The sequence below is a fragment of the Homo sapiens genome, chromosome 1 (genome assembly GCF_000001405.40).
Source record: "Homo sapiens chromosome 1, GRCh38.p14 Primary Assembly".
Taxonomy (NCBI): Eukaryota; Metazoa; Chordata; class Mammalia; order Primates; family Hominidae; genus Homo; species Homo sapiens.
Genome location: NC_000001.11, coordinates 51,111,445 through 51,125,695, shown reverse-complemented (window position 1 = coordinate 51,125,695; position 14,251 = coordinate 51,111,445). Strand labels below are relative to the sequence as shown.

The 14,251-nt window shown below is 38.4% G+C and overlaps 1 protein-coding gene across 5 annotated transcripts in view; it reads right to left on the bottom strand.

Moving 5' to 3' along the window:
- Positions 1 to 14,251, bottom strand: part of C1orf185 (chromosome 1 open reading frame 185) — a 50,055-nt gene that overhangs the window by 26,587 nt on the left and 9,217 nt on the right. For all 5 annotated transcript variants that reach the window (XM_024446525.2, XM_011541282.3, NM_001136508.2 and 2 more), the window contains exons 2-3: positions 13,127 to 13,232; positions 6,895 to 7,030 (exon numbers count right to left, since the gene is read on the bottom strand). In XM_024446525.2, the coding sequence (XP_024302293.2) occupies positions 6,895 to 7,030; positions 13,127 to 13,232 (242 nt within the window). The remainder of the gene's footprint in view (positions 1 to 6,894; positions 7,031 to 13,126; positions 13,233 to 14,251) is intronic.

Here is a 14,251-nt window from a genome sequence, read left to right as displayed (position 1 = left end):
CCAGTTGACCTTACAATGAAGCTTTTTCTTTTCTAAAAAGCTGGTGCCATAGTATTGGTTTCTATGCATGTCAGACAGAATGCTCATTGCTTGGTAACAAAATAAGATGTGCAAGGCTTCTATAAAGTTAATTACAGCTGGGCATGGTGACTCATTCCTACAATCCAGCACTATGCCCCCTTTATAATTTAGGATAGGTTTACAAGGCCCTTCAAGAATATAGAAATAAAGTATTGCCTCCTCCTGGAAGACTTAGTGTTACTAAAAACTTAAAACTAAAAACCCTACTGCTATTAAACTTCAAGGGAATCACTAGCTGGATATATGTCCAGGATTAAGCCTGTTTCTTATAAGTCCTCACAAGCCTAAGAGGAGGATACCAGACTTATGTTTATAACCCCCTAAAAGACTGAAAGCTATTATTTCACAAATGCATAAATAGATAATGTGATGCTGTGGGTGGGCATTGGAGCATTAATTTTTCTCTTCCTTCTAATTCCTTTTCTTGTTTAACCTTCTAGTAAAGTTTATACTTTCTAGATTACACATGAAGATGATGCTGGCACAAGGCTTCCAACCGCATCCCATCTTTTGACCCTGAAAACAAAAACACCTTCCCGTTGGGCCCTTTGGGTAAGGTATCCAGAGATTTTTACTCCTCCAATGCTAGGCAGGGCCTATACCCATAAAATGAGCAAGAAGCAGTTACAGAAGATGGGCCTCTGCCCTTCCACAGACCCTTTAAGATTAAGGAAGAGTAATCTCTGAGGTGGGGAATGAGGTTAGGAAGCCAGCAGGACTTGTTTTCTGGTCACAACCCTGCTGACCAAAACAGGATCTTGTCCAGACAGAATAAAGTGAAGAAACCCATAGGAACCAGCAGATGGTGACAAAAGTGATCCCTAGCTGCCTTCATTGCTCATTAATACAAGACACTATCACCAGTGTCATGGCAGTGACCCAGAAGTTATGACCACTTTCCATGGCAATGACTCAGATATTACTGCCCCTTTCCTAGAAAGTTCTAAGTAATCCATTCCTCCATTTGCATTGATCCACTCCTTAATTTGCATGTAATTGAATGTGGGTTTACTGAGTATAATCACAGTTGATAAGAGCCCATAGGTTGCTGTCTCTGGATGTGCTGCCTATGAATTAGCCCTGATCTGCAAAGAGCAGTAATGTTCAACAAAAGATTGCTGTCCAACACCACCAGCTTGCCCTTGAATTCTTTCCTGGCTTTCTCCTAGGCTAAACCCCAGTTTTGAGGCGGCTGCCCTGCAACAAAAACACACCTTAAAAATAGTGCAAAGAGGCCAGGTACAGTGGCTCACGCCTATAATCCCAGCACTTTGGAAGGCCAAGGTGGGCGGATCACTTGAGGCCAGGAGTTCAAGACCAGGCTGGCCAACATGGCGAAACCCTGTCTCCACTAAAAATACAAAAATTAGCCGGGCATGGTGGCGGGCGCCTGTAGTCCCAGCAACTTGGGAGGCTGAGGCAGGAGAATGGCGTGAACCCAGGAGGCGAAGCTTGCAGCAAGCCGAGATCACGCCACTGCACTCCAGCCTGGGCAACAGTGCGAGACTGTCTCAAAAAAAAAAAAAAAAAAAACAAACTACAGTGAAATACCAAGAGATACAAGCCATGGGCTGGGAAAAAATATTTGCAAAGTACATATCTGATAAAGGATTATTGCTCGCTCTCTCTCTCTATATATATATATAATGTGTGTGTGTGTGTGTGTGTATATATATACATGTGTGTATAAAATATATATTTTAAACTTGTTATATATAAGTTCTTTAAAACTTACATTCTTTAAAACTCAGCAATAAGAAAATCAATAACCTAATTAAAAATGAATGAAAGATCGAACAGACACCTCATCGAAGAAGATAGATAGCAAATAAGCACATGAAAAGGTGTTCAACATCACATGTTACTAGGGAATTGCAAATTAAAATGAGATACCACTACACATTTGTTAGAATGGTGAAACTCCAAAACACTGACAACAACAAATGCTGGTGAGAATGGGGAACAACAGGAACTCTCATGCATTGCGGGTGGAAATGCAGAGTGATATACTTTGGAAGAAAAATTGGCACTTTCTTATTAAACTACACACACTCATACCATAAGATCCCATAATTGTGTTCGCTGGTATTCATGCAAATAAGTTGAAAATTTATGTTTATACAAAAACCTCCACACATATGTTTATAGCAACTTTATTCATAATTGCCAAAACTTGGAAAAAACCAAAATGTCCTTCCATAGGTGAATGGATAAATAAACTATGGTATACAATGGAACATTATTCCGTGCTAAAAAGAAATAGGCTAGGCTATAGTTTCAATATTTGTCCCTCCAAAACTCATGTTGAAACTTAATCCACACTTAATCCACAATGTGGCAGTATTCAGAAGGTGGGGCCTTTAAGAAGTGATTGGGTCATAAATAGATTAATCCATTAATGGCTTAATGGATTAATAGATTAATGGGTTATCACAGGAGTGGGACTAGTGGCTTTCTAAGAAGACAAGAGACTTGAACTAGCACACTCAGCCCCTTCACCATGTGATGCCCTATGCCACCCCAGGACTTTGCAGAAATCCTACCAGAAAGAAGGCTTTCACCAGATGTGCCCCTCCTTGACCTTAGACTTCCGAACTCCAGACTGTAAGAAATACATTTCGTTTTTAATAAATTACCCAGTTTCAGGTATTCTGGTATGAGCAACAGAAAACAGACTAAGACAGGCCATCGAGCCATGAAAATACATGGAGAAAGCTTAAATGCACATTGCTAAGTGAAAGAAGCCAATCTGAAAAGACTACATATTGTGTGATTCCAACTATATGACAAATGTGCCTATTCTGGAAAAGGCAAAAACTTTGGAAACAGTAAAAGGATCAGGGGTTGCCAGGGGTTAGAGCAGAGGGAGGGATAAATCAGAGAAGCACAGAGGACTTTTAGGATAATGAAACCATTCTGTATGATACTGTAATGACATGATTGCACATTTGTCAAAACCCATAGACTACATAATACCAAAAGTGAACATTATTGTAAACTATGAATTTTGGATTATTATGTGTCAATGTGGGTTCATCAATAGTAGCATATGCACCTCTCTGGTGTAGGATGTGGATAGTTGGGGAGGCTGTGCCTGTGTGGGGGAAAGAATATAGTGGGACTCTGTACTTTCTGCTCAGTTTTGCTATGAATCTACAATGGCTTGAAGAAAATTAGGTAGGAAGACTATAGATACTGTTACACATCCATTAGGTTGTCAGAAATTTAGAAGCCTGAAAATGCCAAGATTGTTGAAGATATGAAGTAATCTGTGCACTTATATATATGTTGGGGGAACATATATTGACACAGCTACTTTGGAAAACAATTTGGAATTATTTAATAAGGTTGAATATGCACTTACCCTATAATGCAGCAATTCTACTCTTAGGTATAGCCTCTATAAAGATTTCATAGAGAAACAGCTGAAAACCACTCCAAACTTAATGTAAACCACAGAAAATTTGATATTTTCACACAATGGAATACCAGATAACAGTAAAAGCAATGAACTATGGCTACATACATCAACTGGAGGAATTTCAGAAATGCAATACTGCACAAAAAAGGAAAGATTAGATATGGAGTCTAAAACACATGAAATTTAATAATATATTATTCTATAACATTTATGGCAAAACTATAAGGAAAAGTAAGGAAATGATTAGCTGTAATTACAGGATAGTGGTTCCTTTAGTGGAGGGTGGGAGTTGGAGGTGTGACAGATATATAAGACTCAGAATATCTCAAAGGTACTGGTAACATTCTATTTTTATTCTGGGTAGTGAGTATAAAAAATCCATTTATTATTTAAATTTCATGTGTATGTGTATATGTATTCTTCTGTATGTATGTCATATTTCACAATAAAAGTTTTTGTTAGAAATCATTCTCTAGTTTTTTATTATATTAAACCTATTTTTATTATCATTTTATCCTCCTGCCCCATAGAGGTCTGCCTGTAGTAGAAGAGGAAGAAGCCAATACAGAGGCAGAAATTGAGATAAGAAAAACAGGGACAATACAAAAGAGTTCTTTTGTACTGAAATTGGCTGAGGTTAGCACTACCTTAAACTTTTTATACTATTTTTTTTCTTATTCTAGTTTGAATGAGGTTCCTGTCACTGAATATCAAGGATCCTGAATAACAGCCTTAAAAAAGAAGGAAACTTTGTCATTTGTGACAACCAGGGTGAACCTGGAGGACATTATATTAAGTGAAAGAAACCAGGCACAGAAAGACAAATACCCATGATTTCACTCAAATGTGGAATCTAAAAAAGTTGAACTCGTAGAAGCAGACAGTAGAATGGTGGGCTGGGATGGCAGGATACCAGGGGCTGGGGGTGGCAGGGTGACAGAGGAGATGTTGGTCAAAGGATACAAAATTTCAGTTAGATAAGAGGAATAGATTCAAGGAATCTATTGTACAACACGGTGATTATAGTTAATAACAATGTATTGTATTGTTGAAAATCACTAAGAGAGTAGATTTTAAGCGTTCTCACCACAAAAAATGACAAGTATGTGAGATAACACACGTGTTAACTAACATTATTTAGCCATTCCACAAAGTACACATATTTCAAAACATCATGTTGTACATGATAAATATATACAATTTTTGTCAATTAAAAAATAAATAAAAGAATCCTGAATTATCTTTTGTGTTTACTTGTGCATTATTTCTCTCTCCCACTACACTAAAAATTTCATAAAAGCAGGGGCTATTATCTCCCTTGGTCATCTCCAAATTCCCAGTGACCTAATACAATGCCTGGCATATAAGCACTTCTTACATATTTGTTGAATGAATAATAAACAACCTAATCAAAATTGCACTCATGACACTTTTGTAATTGTCTATTAGTGTCTATACATCGTTAAGTATGATGGTATTATTATATCATTAGTACCTAGCAAAATGCCTAGTACGTGATGGGTACTGAATAAATTAATATTAAATGCATACATAGAAACAATTTTTCTCTGCAATGCAATCTCTATTTCAAACTGTCCTTCATTCGAAAGTCAGAGGAAATAACCTTTAGAATCAATTTGATGTTTACATCCACATGCTTAAAATCTTCCAGTAAAAATAATAGTAGAATTGTACGGTGCTCACTACAGGATCAGGCACTATTCTGAGTGCTTTTTCACATAATTCCTTTAATCCCACAACAACTCTACGGAGGTGAAATTATCCTTATTTTGCAGATGAGGAAACTGAGACACAGAGAAGTTAAGTAACTTGCCTAACATTATACAGCTATTGGTGGTACAGTCAGAATTGAAATCTGTAATCTGGCTCTACAGACAATGCTCTTGACCATATTACTATAATCCTTCAGTGGTTCTGTGCGGCCTAAGGGGTAAACTTCAAAATCCTTAGGGTGCAAATGAGGCTCATCGCAATCTCATCCCCAGCGTCTTTTTCCACCACTGTCTTCTGAATCCTAGGCTCCGAACATTATAACATTTTTACTGAATATATTGCTTCCTTTCATAGCCACAAGCCTTTGAACATGAGATGTCCTTTGTTCTCTTTCTTCCCGACAAACTTCTCTTCATTTCTTAAAACCCAGTTCAAAATGTCTTCTCTGTGAAGCCCTCCTCAATTCAGCCTTTTTTGTCTGCACTTCTTCAACTTTGTGAGCTCTTATCATATGATGTTGTACTTATTTAGTTTATGTATTTTTCTTCTCTACTGATTTTGAGCTCATCTAGGGCTGGGCTCATATCTTATTTGTTTATATAGCCTCAGTGGCAAAACTAGTGCTGATGTATATAAAGTACTCAACAAATGTGTTTGTTTTTGAGACAGGGTCTTGCTGTCACCTAGGCTGGAGTGCAGTAGCGCAGTCATAGCTCACTGCAACTTCAAACTCCTGTACTTAAAGGATCCTCCTGCCTCAGCCTCCTGAACAACTAGGACTACAGGCATGAGCCACTACATCCAACTACTTTTTTATTTTTAAAATTTTTATAGAGATAGGGTTTCGCTGTGTTGCCTGGGCTGGTTTCCAGTTCCTGGGCTCAAGCAATCCTCCCGCCCTTGGTTTCCCAAAGTGCTGGGATTGCAGGCATGAGCTGCCATGGCCAGCCAGCAAATGTTTGTTAAATCAATGAACACCGAGTACAACTTGAGTTGAATACTCAAGATATATAGTGAAACTCTGACAACCTATCAGTTTGTCACTATTTATCTATCTACAAAACAAACACTGTTTTGCTTAGCTATTGTAGTTTTAGTCTCTGCCTTTTTTTCCTTTGTTCATTTAGCATTGTGTTGACGCTTACCATATCACACAAATTTAATTAGGTGTCTGCCTTTCTCACTTGTACTACACATATACCTTGAAGGTAGGTGCCATATCTTACTATCTTCAATAAAGGGGCCCAGAGGAGCTTGGAATATAGTAAAGGCTTAGTACATCATTGTCAAAGTGAATTTAATTTCAATTGCTATGGTTAGGCTATCTGGAGTATCTCTTATCTCCAGATCTTTTTCCTTTGACAAGCCTGGTAATTTTGCTTTCAGTTTTTCTTATGCCATTTATCTTTATCCCTATAGCAATCCCAATATGTGGAATGCAGGTTGTTGGGCTAGAGATATGAAGATACAACTGTAGAAGGTGATATATTTTCATTTAGCTTTTCAGTTTTCCTATAGTATAAACTCTAACTAGTTTGTCCCTCAAATTAAAAAATAATAGTGGATTCTCTGTCCTTCAGATTTTAAGACAGCAATGCTAATAACATGGTATCAAAAGAAATTATTTGAAAAGATTACTATAAAATATTACACCCTACCTGTAATTGGAATCTCCCAGTATGAAAATTTCGAGAAATAAAAACACACTGAGAATGAGATTTAATCTTCGCCATTGATGGTCTTTGCCTGCATCTCTCATCAATTGCTTTAAATTTGGAATTTTGAAATATTTCTCTGAAAAATATTTTATAAAGAATATTATTAAACCTGAGTTAGATTATAAAACAATTAAAATCATTATTTCCAATATTTATACATAAAGCTTTAAAATCAGAATAAATACATTATAGCATATTTATTTTTAAAAGCACAAGTCAATTTACATACTCCCTACTCATATGTTAGATTTCATTACATCTATTTTATTCATAGAATATAAATTAAGCCATTTATTTTATTCATGAAATGTAAATTAAGTTATGTATGCAGAGCTAATATTTTCAGTTTGAATATTAGCCAGGAGTCTTTGATATACTTCTTTCTGGTTGTGAGAAAATTAGTTGGTTTTAATGTTAATTAGCCTTTTCATAAAATTATCCTTAATGGTGAAGGAAATTAAATAAAATGCAACTCATTGGTCAATTTTGGTATTTAATCATATTTCTGGCAAAAAGTAAGAGGGGCTGGTGCGGTGGCTTACGCCTGTAATCCCAGCACTTTGGGAGGTCAAGGCGGGCGGATCACTTGAGGTCAGGAGTTCAAGATCAGCTTGGCCAACATGGTGAAACCCTGTCTCTACTAAAAACACATACAAAAAAATTAGCTGGGCATGGTAGCACATGCCTGTAATCCCAGCTACTAGGGTGGCTGAGGCAGGAGAGTTGCTTGAACTCAGGAGGTAGAGGTTGCAGTGAGCCTAGATTGTATCACTACACTCCAGCCTGGGTGACAGAGTGAGACCCTGCCTCAAAAATAAATAAATAAGAGGAAGAAAACTGAATTGACTCACAATGGAAGAGTACCGTAATCTTTTCTTATCCATGCAACCACAAGTAAGTGAGAGAGAGTTAAAGAAAAGAAAGCAGCAAGTAAAATCTCAGATGATCAAAGACAGTTAAGTATAAGGGAATGTAGTTTCAAACAGTCATTCTCAACTTAAGGATTTAAAGAACAATGGAATATTTTTCAGTATTGAAAAGAAAGAAATGAGCTATTAAGGCATGAAAAGACATGGAGGAAACTTACATGTGTATTACTAAAGTAAAAGAGGTCAATCTTAAAAGCTACATACTATATGATTCCAACTATATGACATTCTGGAAAAGGCAAAACTATGGAGACAGTAAAAGGATCACTGGTTGCCAGGAGTTAGGGGGAGGGAGGGATGAATAGATGGACCATAAAGGACTTTTAGGGCAGTGAAAATACTCTGTGTGATACTATAATGGTGGATTTTACACATTCATCGAAACCCACAGAATATACAACACCAAGAGTGAACCCTAATGTAAACTATAAAATATGGGTGATAGTGAAGTGTTAATGTAGATTCATCAATTGTAAACTCCTCCCAAATAATAATAATAATGCTCATTGCCATTTCTTCTTTCAGAGGTACTAGAATATTTCCAAATTAATTCAAGAGATCATATTATGTTAATGAGGCATTAACAATTAGGATTCACTTATTCATTGAATTCAATTCTCGACAAATATTTATTGAGTATTTACTAAGTGCCAGGCTTTATGCTGGATGTTGTATATATAGTGGTAGGAGGAAAAAGAACAGCCCCCTGCCCTCATGGAACTCTCATTGCTTCCATCGAGCTTAAATACTAGAAAAGAAGACAGACATTAATAACGTAATCACAAGAAAATGAAAAATTACAAGAGTGGAAATTGCTGTCAAGGAAAGCTACCTGGTATTGTGGATGTAACTAAGGGAATTAACCTGGTTAGAGAGGTCAGGGAAGCCTTTAGTATTAAGGTAGGGATGATTTAACTGGGCATCTGAAGAAACAGCAGTAGTTATTAGGTAGAATGTGGTGGAAGAGGGGACATGTGAAAGTAAGTATATCTAGACAGAGAGAATATCATATACAAAGACCTACTGGCCAGATTAGGACAATGTAACAGAAACACAGAAAGCAGGAGGGAAAGTGGGAGATGAGATTGGGGAATATGTGTGGGGGTAGACCATGTAAGCCCTTAAAAGTTTTATCTTTAATCCAAAGGCAATGAAAAGTCCTTTAAAATATAGTGAGTGTGGGGTAGAAGGGTAGTTTGGGCTGGGCGCAGTGGTTCACGCTTGTAATCCCAGCACTTTGGGAGGCCGAGGAGGGCGGATCACCTAAGATCAGGAGTTCGAGATCAACCTGGACAACATAGCAAAACCCTGTCTCTACTAAAAATACAAAAATTAGCTGGATGTGTTGGCATGCACCTGTAGCCCCAGCTACTCAGGAGGCTGTGGCAGGAGAATTGCTTGAACCTGGGAGGCGGAGGTTGCAGCGAGCCAAGATCACACCACTGCACTCCAGCCTGGTGACAGATCAAGACTCCGTTTCAAAAAAAAAAAAAAAAAGGGTAGGGTGACTTGATCAGATTTGCCCTTGGAGAACATCTGGTAGAAGTGTGGAGAAAAGATTAAATGAGTACGATACTGAAGGTGGAGTCAATTTTAACTTCTTTTGCAGTAGTCTCTGTGGGGGATAATGAGAACTTGGATAGGATGGTGGCAGTGGTAAAGGAGATAACTGAGTAGATATGAGCAATATATGAAGTAAGGTAAATAGAATTTAGTGATAGTTTGAGTTTAGTGGGAGTGGGGAGATTCAAGGATGTCTTTCATTTTTATCACCAGCCCCCTAAATTGCTCCTCCCTTTCATCATCTCCTTGTCTCAGTAAATGGCTGAGCTTAACTGAGCTGAGTAAAGTATAAACTACGTATCTGCTTACGGCAAAAAGTTATGCATCAGCATTAACTCTGCCATTTTCATCCAATCTGTCAACAAGATCTGCTGACTCTACCTGCAAAACCTATCCCAGATCCAACTCCATCTTTTCATCTCCTCTACTTCCATGTTAGTGCAAGACACCGTAAACTCTCACCCTGACTCTGCAATAGTCTCCAGACTTGTCTCTCTGCTTTCACTCTTGCTCCATTAAAATTCAGGCTTCATAGAGACATAAAGATATTTTAAAAATATCTTTAAAAGTGTAAATCAGAACTCTCATACATTGCTAGTGAGAGTGTATATACACTTCTGAAAAGTGTTTGGCCGTTTCTAATAAAGCTAATCATATGATCCAACAATTCTAGTTTTAGGTATTTACCTAAGAAAAGTGAAAGTACTTGTACTTTATATGTACAAGATTTATACAAGAATATTTATGGCAGCCATTTTCCTAAGAGCTAAAAACAAAATGACCCCAATGTCCATTAACAAAAGAATAGATAAACCAAGGTATATTCATAAAATGGAATATTACTCAATAAAACAATGAACTATGGATGGATAAATGCAATATAAATGAATCTAAAAATATTATTATCATTTTGAGACAGAGTCTTGTTCTGTTGCCCAGGCTCGAGTGCAGTGGCACAATCTCAGCTCACTGCAACCTCTGCCATCTGGGTTCAAGTGATTCTCCTGCCTCAGCCTCCCGAGTAGCTGGGATTACAGGCATGAACGACCATGCCCGATTAATTTTTGTACTTTTAGTAGAGACAGGGTTTCACTGTTCACTGGTCTCCAACTCCTGACCTCAAGAGATCTGCCCGCCTCAGCCTCCCAAAGTGTTGGGATTACAGACGTCAGCCACTGCGCCCGGCCTCAAAAATATTATGTTGAGTGAAAAAAACAGACATAAAAAGTCCATTATGATACAAGAACAGGCAAAATTAATCTGTGGTGATAGAAACCTGAATAAATCTTTCCTCTGAGGTAGGAGGTCAGGAGTGATGCCTGGAAAGGAGCATGAGGGAACTTCCTAGGGCAGTGAAAAGCTCTATATCTTGACAGAGTGGTGGTTACATAGGTGTATATTTGTTGAAACTGATAGCTGTACATTTCAAATCTATGCAGTTTCTTGTATGTAAACTATACCTCAATTTTAAACAGTTATTAAAATGTAAATCAGCTATAGGATAGTCTTTATTTACTTATTTATTTTTGAGACAGAGTCTCGCTTGTCACCCAGGCTGGAGTGCAGTGGTGGGATCTTGGCTCACTGCAATCTCTGCCTTCAGGGTTCAAGCAATTCTCGTGTCTCAGCCTCCCAGGTAGCTGGGGTTACAGGCGTGTACCACCATTCCCGGGTAATTTTTGTGTTTTTAATAGAGACAAAGTTTTGCCATGATGGCCAGGCTGGTCTCGAACTCTTAGCCTCAAGTGATCCACCTGCCTTGGCCTCCCAAAGTGCTGGGATTACAGACGTGAGTCACCGCACCAGGCCTAGGATAGTCTTTAAAATGGAGATAATATTACTTTTACCTCATGGGGCTAAGTCTGAATGAGATAACATATGAAGCATTTATAACAGTGCCTATTTAGAAAGCAGTCAGTGTTAGCTATTACGATGACGGTGCTATTCCCCTTGTTTAGAAACTGCCAATGGCACAAATAAAATCCAACTCCGTGTTCTAGCCTACAAATTCTTAAGTGATCTGGCTCTTACATGTCTCTTCAATTTCATGATTGTTTCCCTTTCTCACTGCAGATTATTCACATTGGCCTTCTTTCTGTTTGTTAAACATGTCAAGACCATTCCTTAGGGTCTTTGTATTTGCTCTGCTTTCAGTTTAGACAGCTCTTGCACAAAGTCTTCCTATGTCTGGTTCCTTCTAACTCAGATCTCAGATTAAATACAACCTACCTTAGTACACACATATCCTGACTAGTTTATCTGTTCATTATCTGTCCCCTGCTAGTGGCATTGCAAATCTATTAAACAGAAACTTTTTAAACTTGTTCACAGTTGTAACCTCAATACCTAGAACAATGGCAAGCACCTAATAAATATTTGTTGGAAGAATGAATAAGTGAATAATTTCTAGGTTTCTGACTTCTGAATGTAGATGGGTAGTGTGTATTCATTTGCAACAAGGAACACTGGAAGACTGTGTGGGAAGATTATGTTACAATTTATATATTTTAAACATTAGACAATGCAAACGCTGAATTTATGTATGTATGTATGTATGTATTTTTGAGATGGAGTTTCACTCTTTTCACCCAGGCTGTAGTGCAATGGCACAATCTCGGCTCACTGCAACCTCTGCATCCTGGGTTCAAGCGATTCTCCTGTCTTAGCCTCCCGAGCAGCTGGGACTACAGGTGTGTGCCGCTACATCTGGCTAACTTTGTTTATCGTTAGTAGAGAGAGGGTTTCACCATTTTGGCCAGGCTAGTCTCAAACTCCTGACCCCAGGTGATCCGTCCGCTTTGGCCTCCCAAAGTGCTGGGATTATAGGTGTGAGCCACGGCACCCGGCCTGAAATGATTTAATATTAATATTAATATTAATAATTAATAATTAGAAACAGCAAATTTTACAGTTGAAAGGAATTAAGGTGTCAAATGATCTTTTTCTGTTTCTGGCAAAAGACTACTTTCAGACCATACCAGGGCATTCTGTCAGCTTTTTTCTTAAATATCTCCTAAAGAAAAAGTTTCTTTCCTTTTCTATAATGTTTTCAATCTCTAAAATTGGGAGTCAATTTTTAAAAACATTTTCACCTACCATTACAATCAAACCTATGTCTTCTAGAAAATAAAGGCCGGGTGTGGTGGCTCATGCCTGTAATCCCAGCACTTTGGGAGGCCGAGGCGGGCGGATCGTCTGAGGTCAGGAGTTCGAGACCAGCCTGGCCAACATGGTGAAACCCCGTCTCTACTAAAAATACAAAAACAGGCGGGTGTCGTGGTGCGAACCTGTAATCCCAGCTACCCAGGAGGCTGAGTCAGGAGAATCGCTTGAACCCAGGAGGTGGAGTTTGCAGTGAGCCAAGATCGCGCCACTGCACTCCAGCCTGGGCGACAGAGCAAGACTCTGTCTCAAGAAAAGAAAAAAAAAAAAAGAAAAGAAAGTAGGTCTTGTTATCCTTCAAAATTTTAATGCATGAACATTCCTATCACCAGTACTTCTTTTTTCAGGCTACTTAAAAAATGTAAAGCCTTCCGTCCCCAACCAAAGGGTCTATAACCAAATCCCAAACTAAACAATCAATACTATCATAGTTATTTAAGTTTACTTCCATTTGAAAAAGTCCTTTATTGAATTTTTAAAAGAAAAAAAGGTTAAAGAAATATTCGAATAATCCTTACCTTCGTTTGCAAATCAGGAACCACAAAGCTGATGCCAAAGCAAAGAAACCAATTCCCAAAGTGACAGCACCAGCAGCAAGAAAATAGGTCAAGTAATTAAAAAAACCTATACAAACAAATTACAAAAGATTATTTCATGCATGTATTTTTATTCTCTAGGTAAAACTGAATGATAAACTTCAAATGATATAGCATGTTGTAGTGTTAAGACATTAACCAGGAGATTGGGAGATGGGAATTCTAGTCCCATGCAATTCTAATAAACTCCAAGACCCTGGATTAGAGAATTACACAGGGCCTCCTGATGATTATGGCCCAGGGCACATTTCTTTGATGATGCCAATATTTGAAACCTAGGTTTCGTTTGTGTTTGTACAGCTGCCACCACCTTGTTATCTGTTTTTCTTCCTTCTCAGTCTAGCTTTTTTTTTTTTCCCCTCCCGTATCATTCCTGGCAGGCCTCCAACATAAGACTTTTTAAGATTTTCATTTTAAGATTTGTGTTATCAATCTCTATAAGGAGGCAGATAAGAGTAATAAAGTAACAAATATGAGGAATTTTTAAGATCTTAGAAATCTTTACAAGTTTTATCTAAAAGGTAAAATGAGGATGGGCGTGGCGGCTCATGCCTGTAATCCCAACACTTTGGGAGACTGAGGCGGAAGGATCTTGAAGCCAGGAGTTGGATACCAGCCCAGCCATAGAGTGAAATACCATCTCTACAAAAAGTTAAAAAACAATTAACCAGGGGCAGGGCGCCGTGGCTCACGCCTGTAATCCCAGCACTTTGGGAGGCTGAGACGGGCAGAGCACCTGAGGTCAGGAGTTCGAGACCAGCCTGGCTAACATGGTGAAACCCTGTCTCTACTAAAAATACAGAAATTAGCCGGGCATGGTGGTACATGCCTGTAGTCCCAGCTACTCGGGAGGCTGAGGCAGGAGAATCACTGGAACCTGGGAGGTGGAAGTTGTCGTAAACCGAGATAGCACCACTGCACTCGAGCCTGAGACTCTGTCTCAAAAAAAAATTAACCAGGTGTGATGGCATTTGCCTGTTAGTCCCAGCTACTCAGGAGGCTGAGGCGGGAGGATTGCTTGAGCCCAGGAATTTGAGATTACAGTGA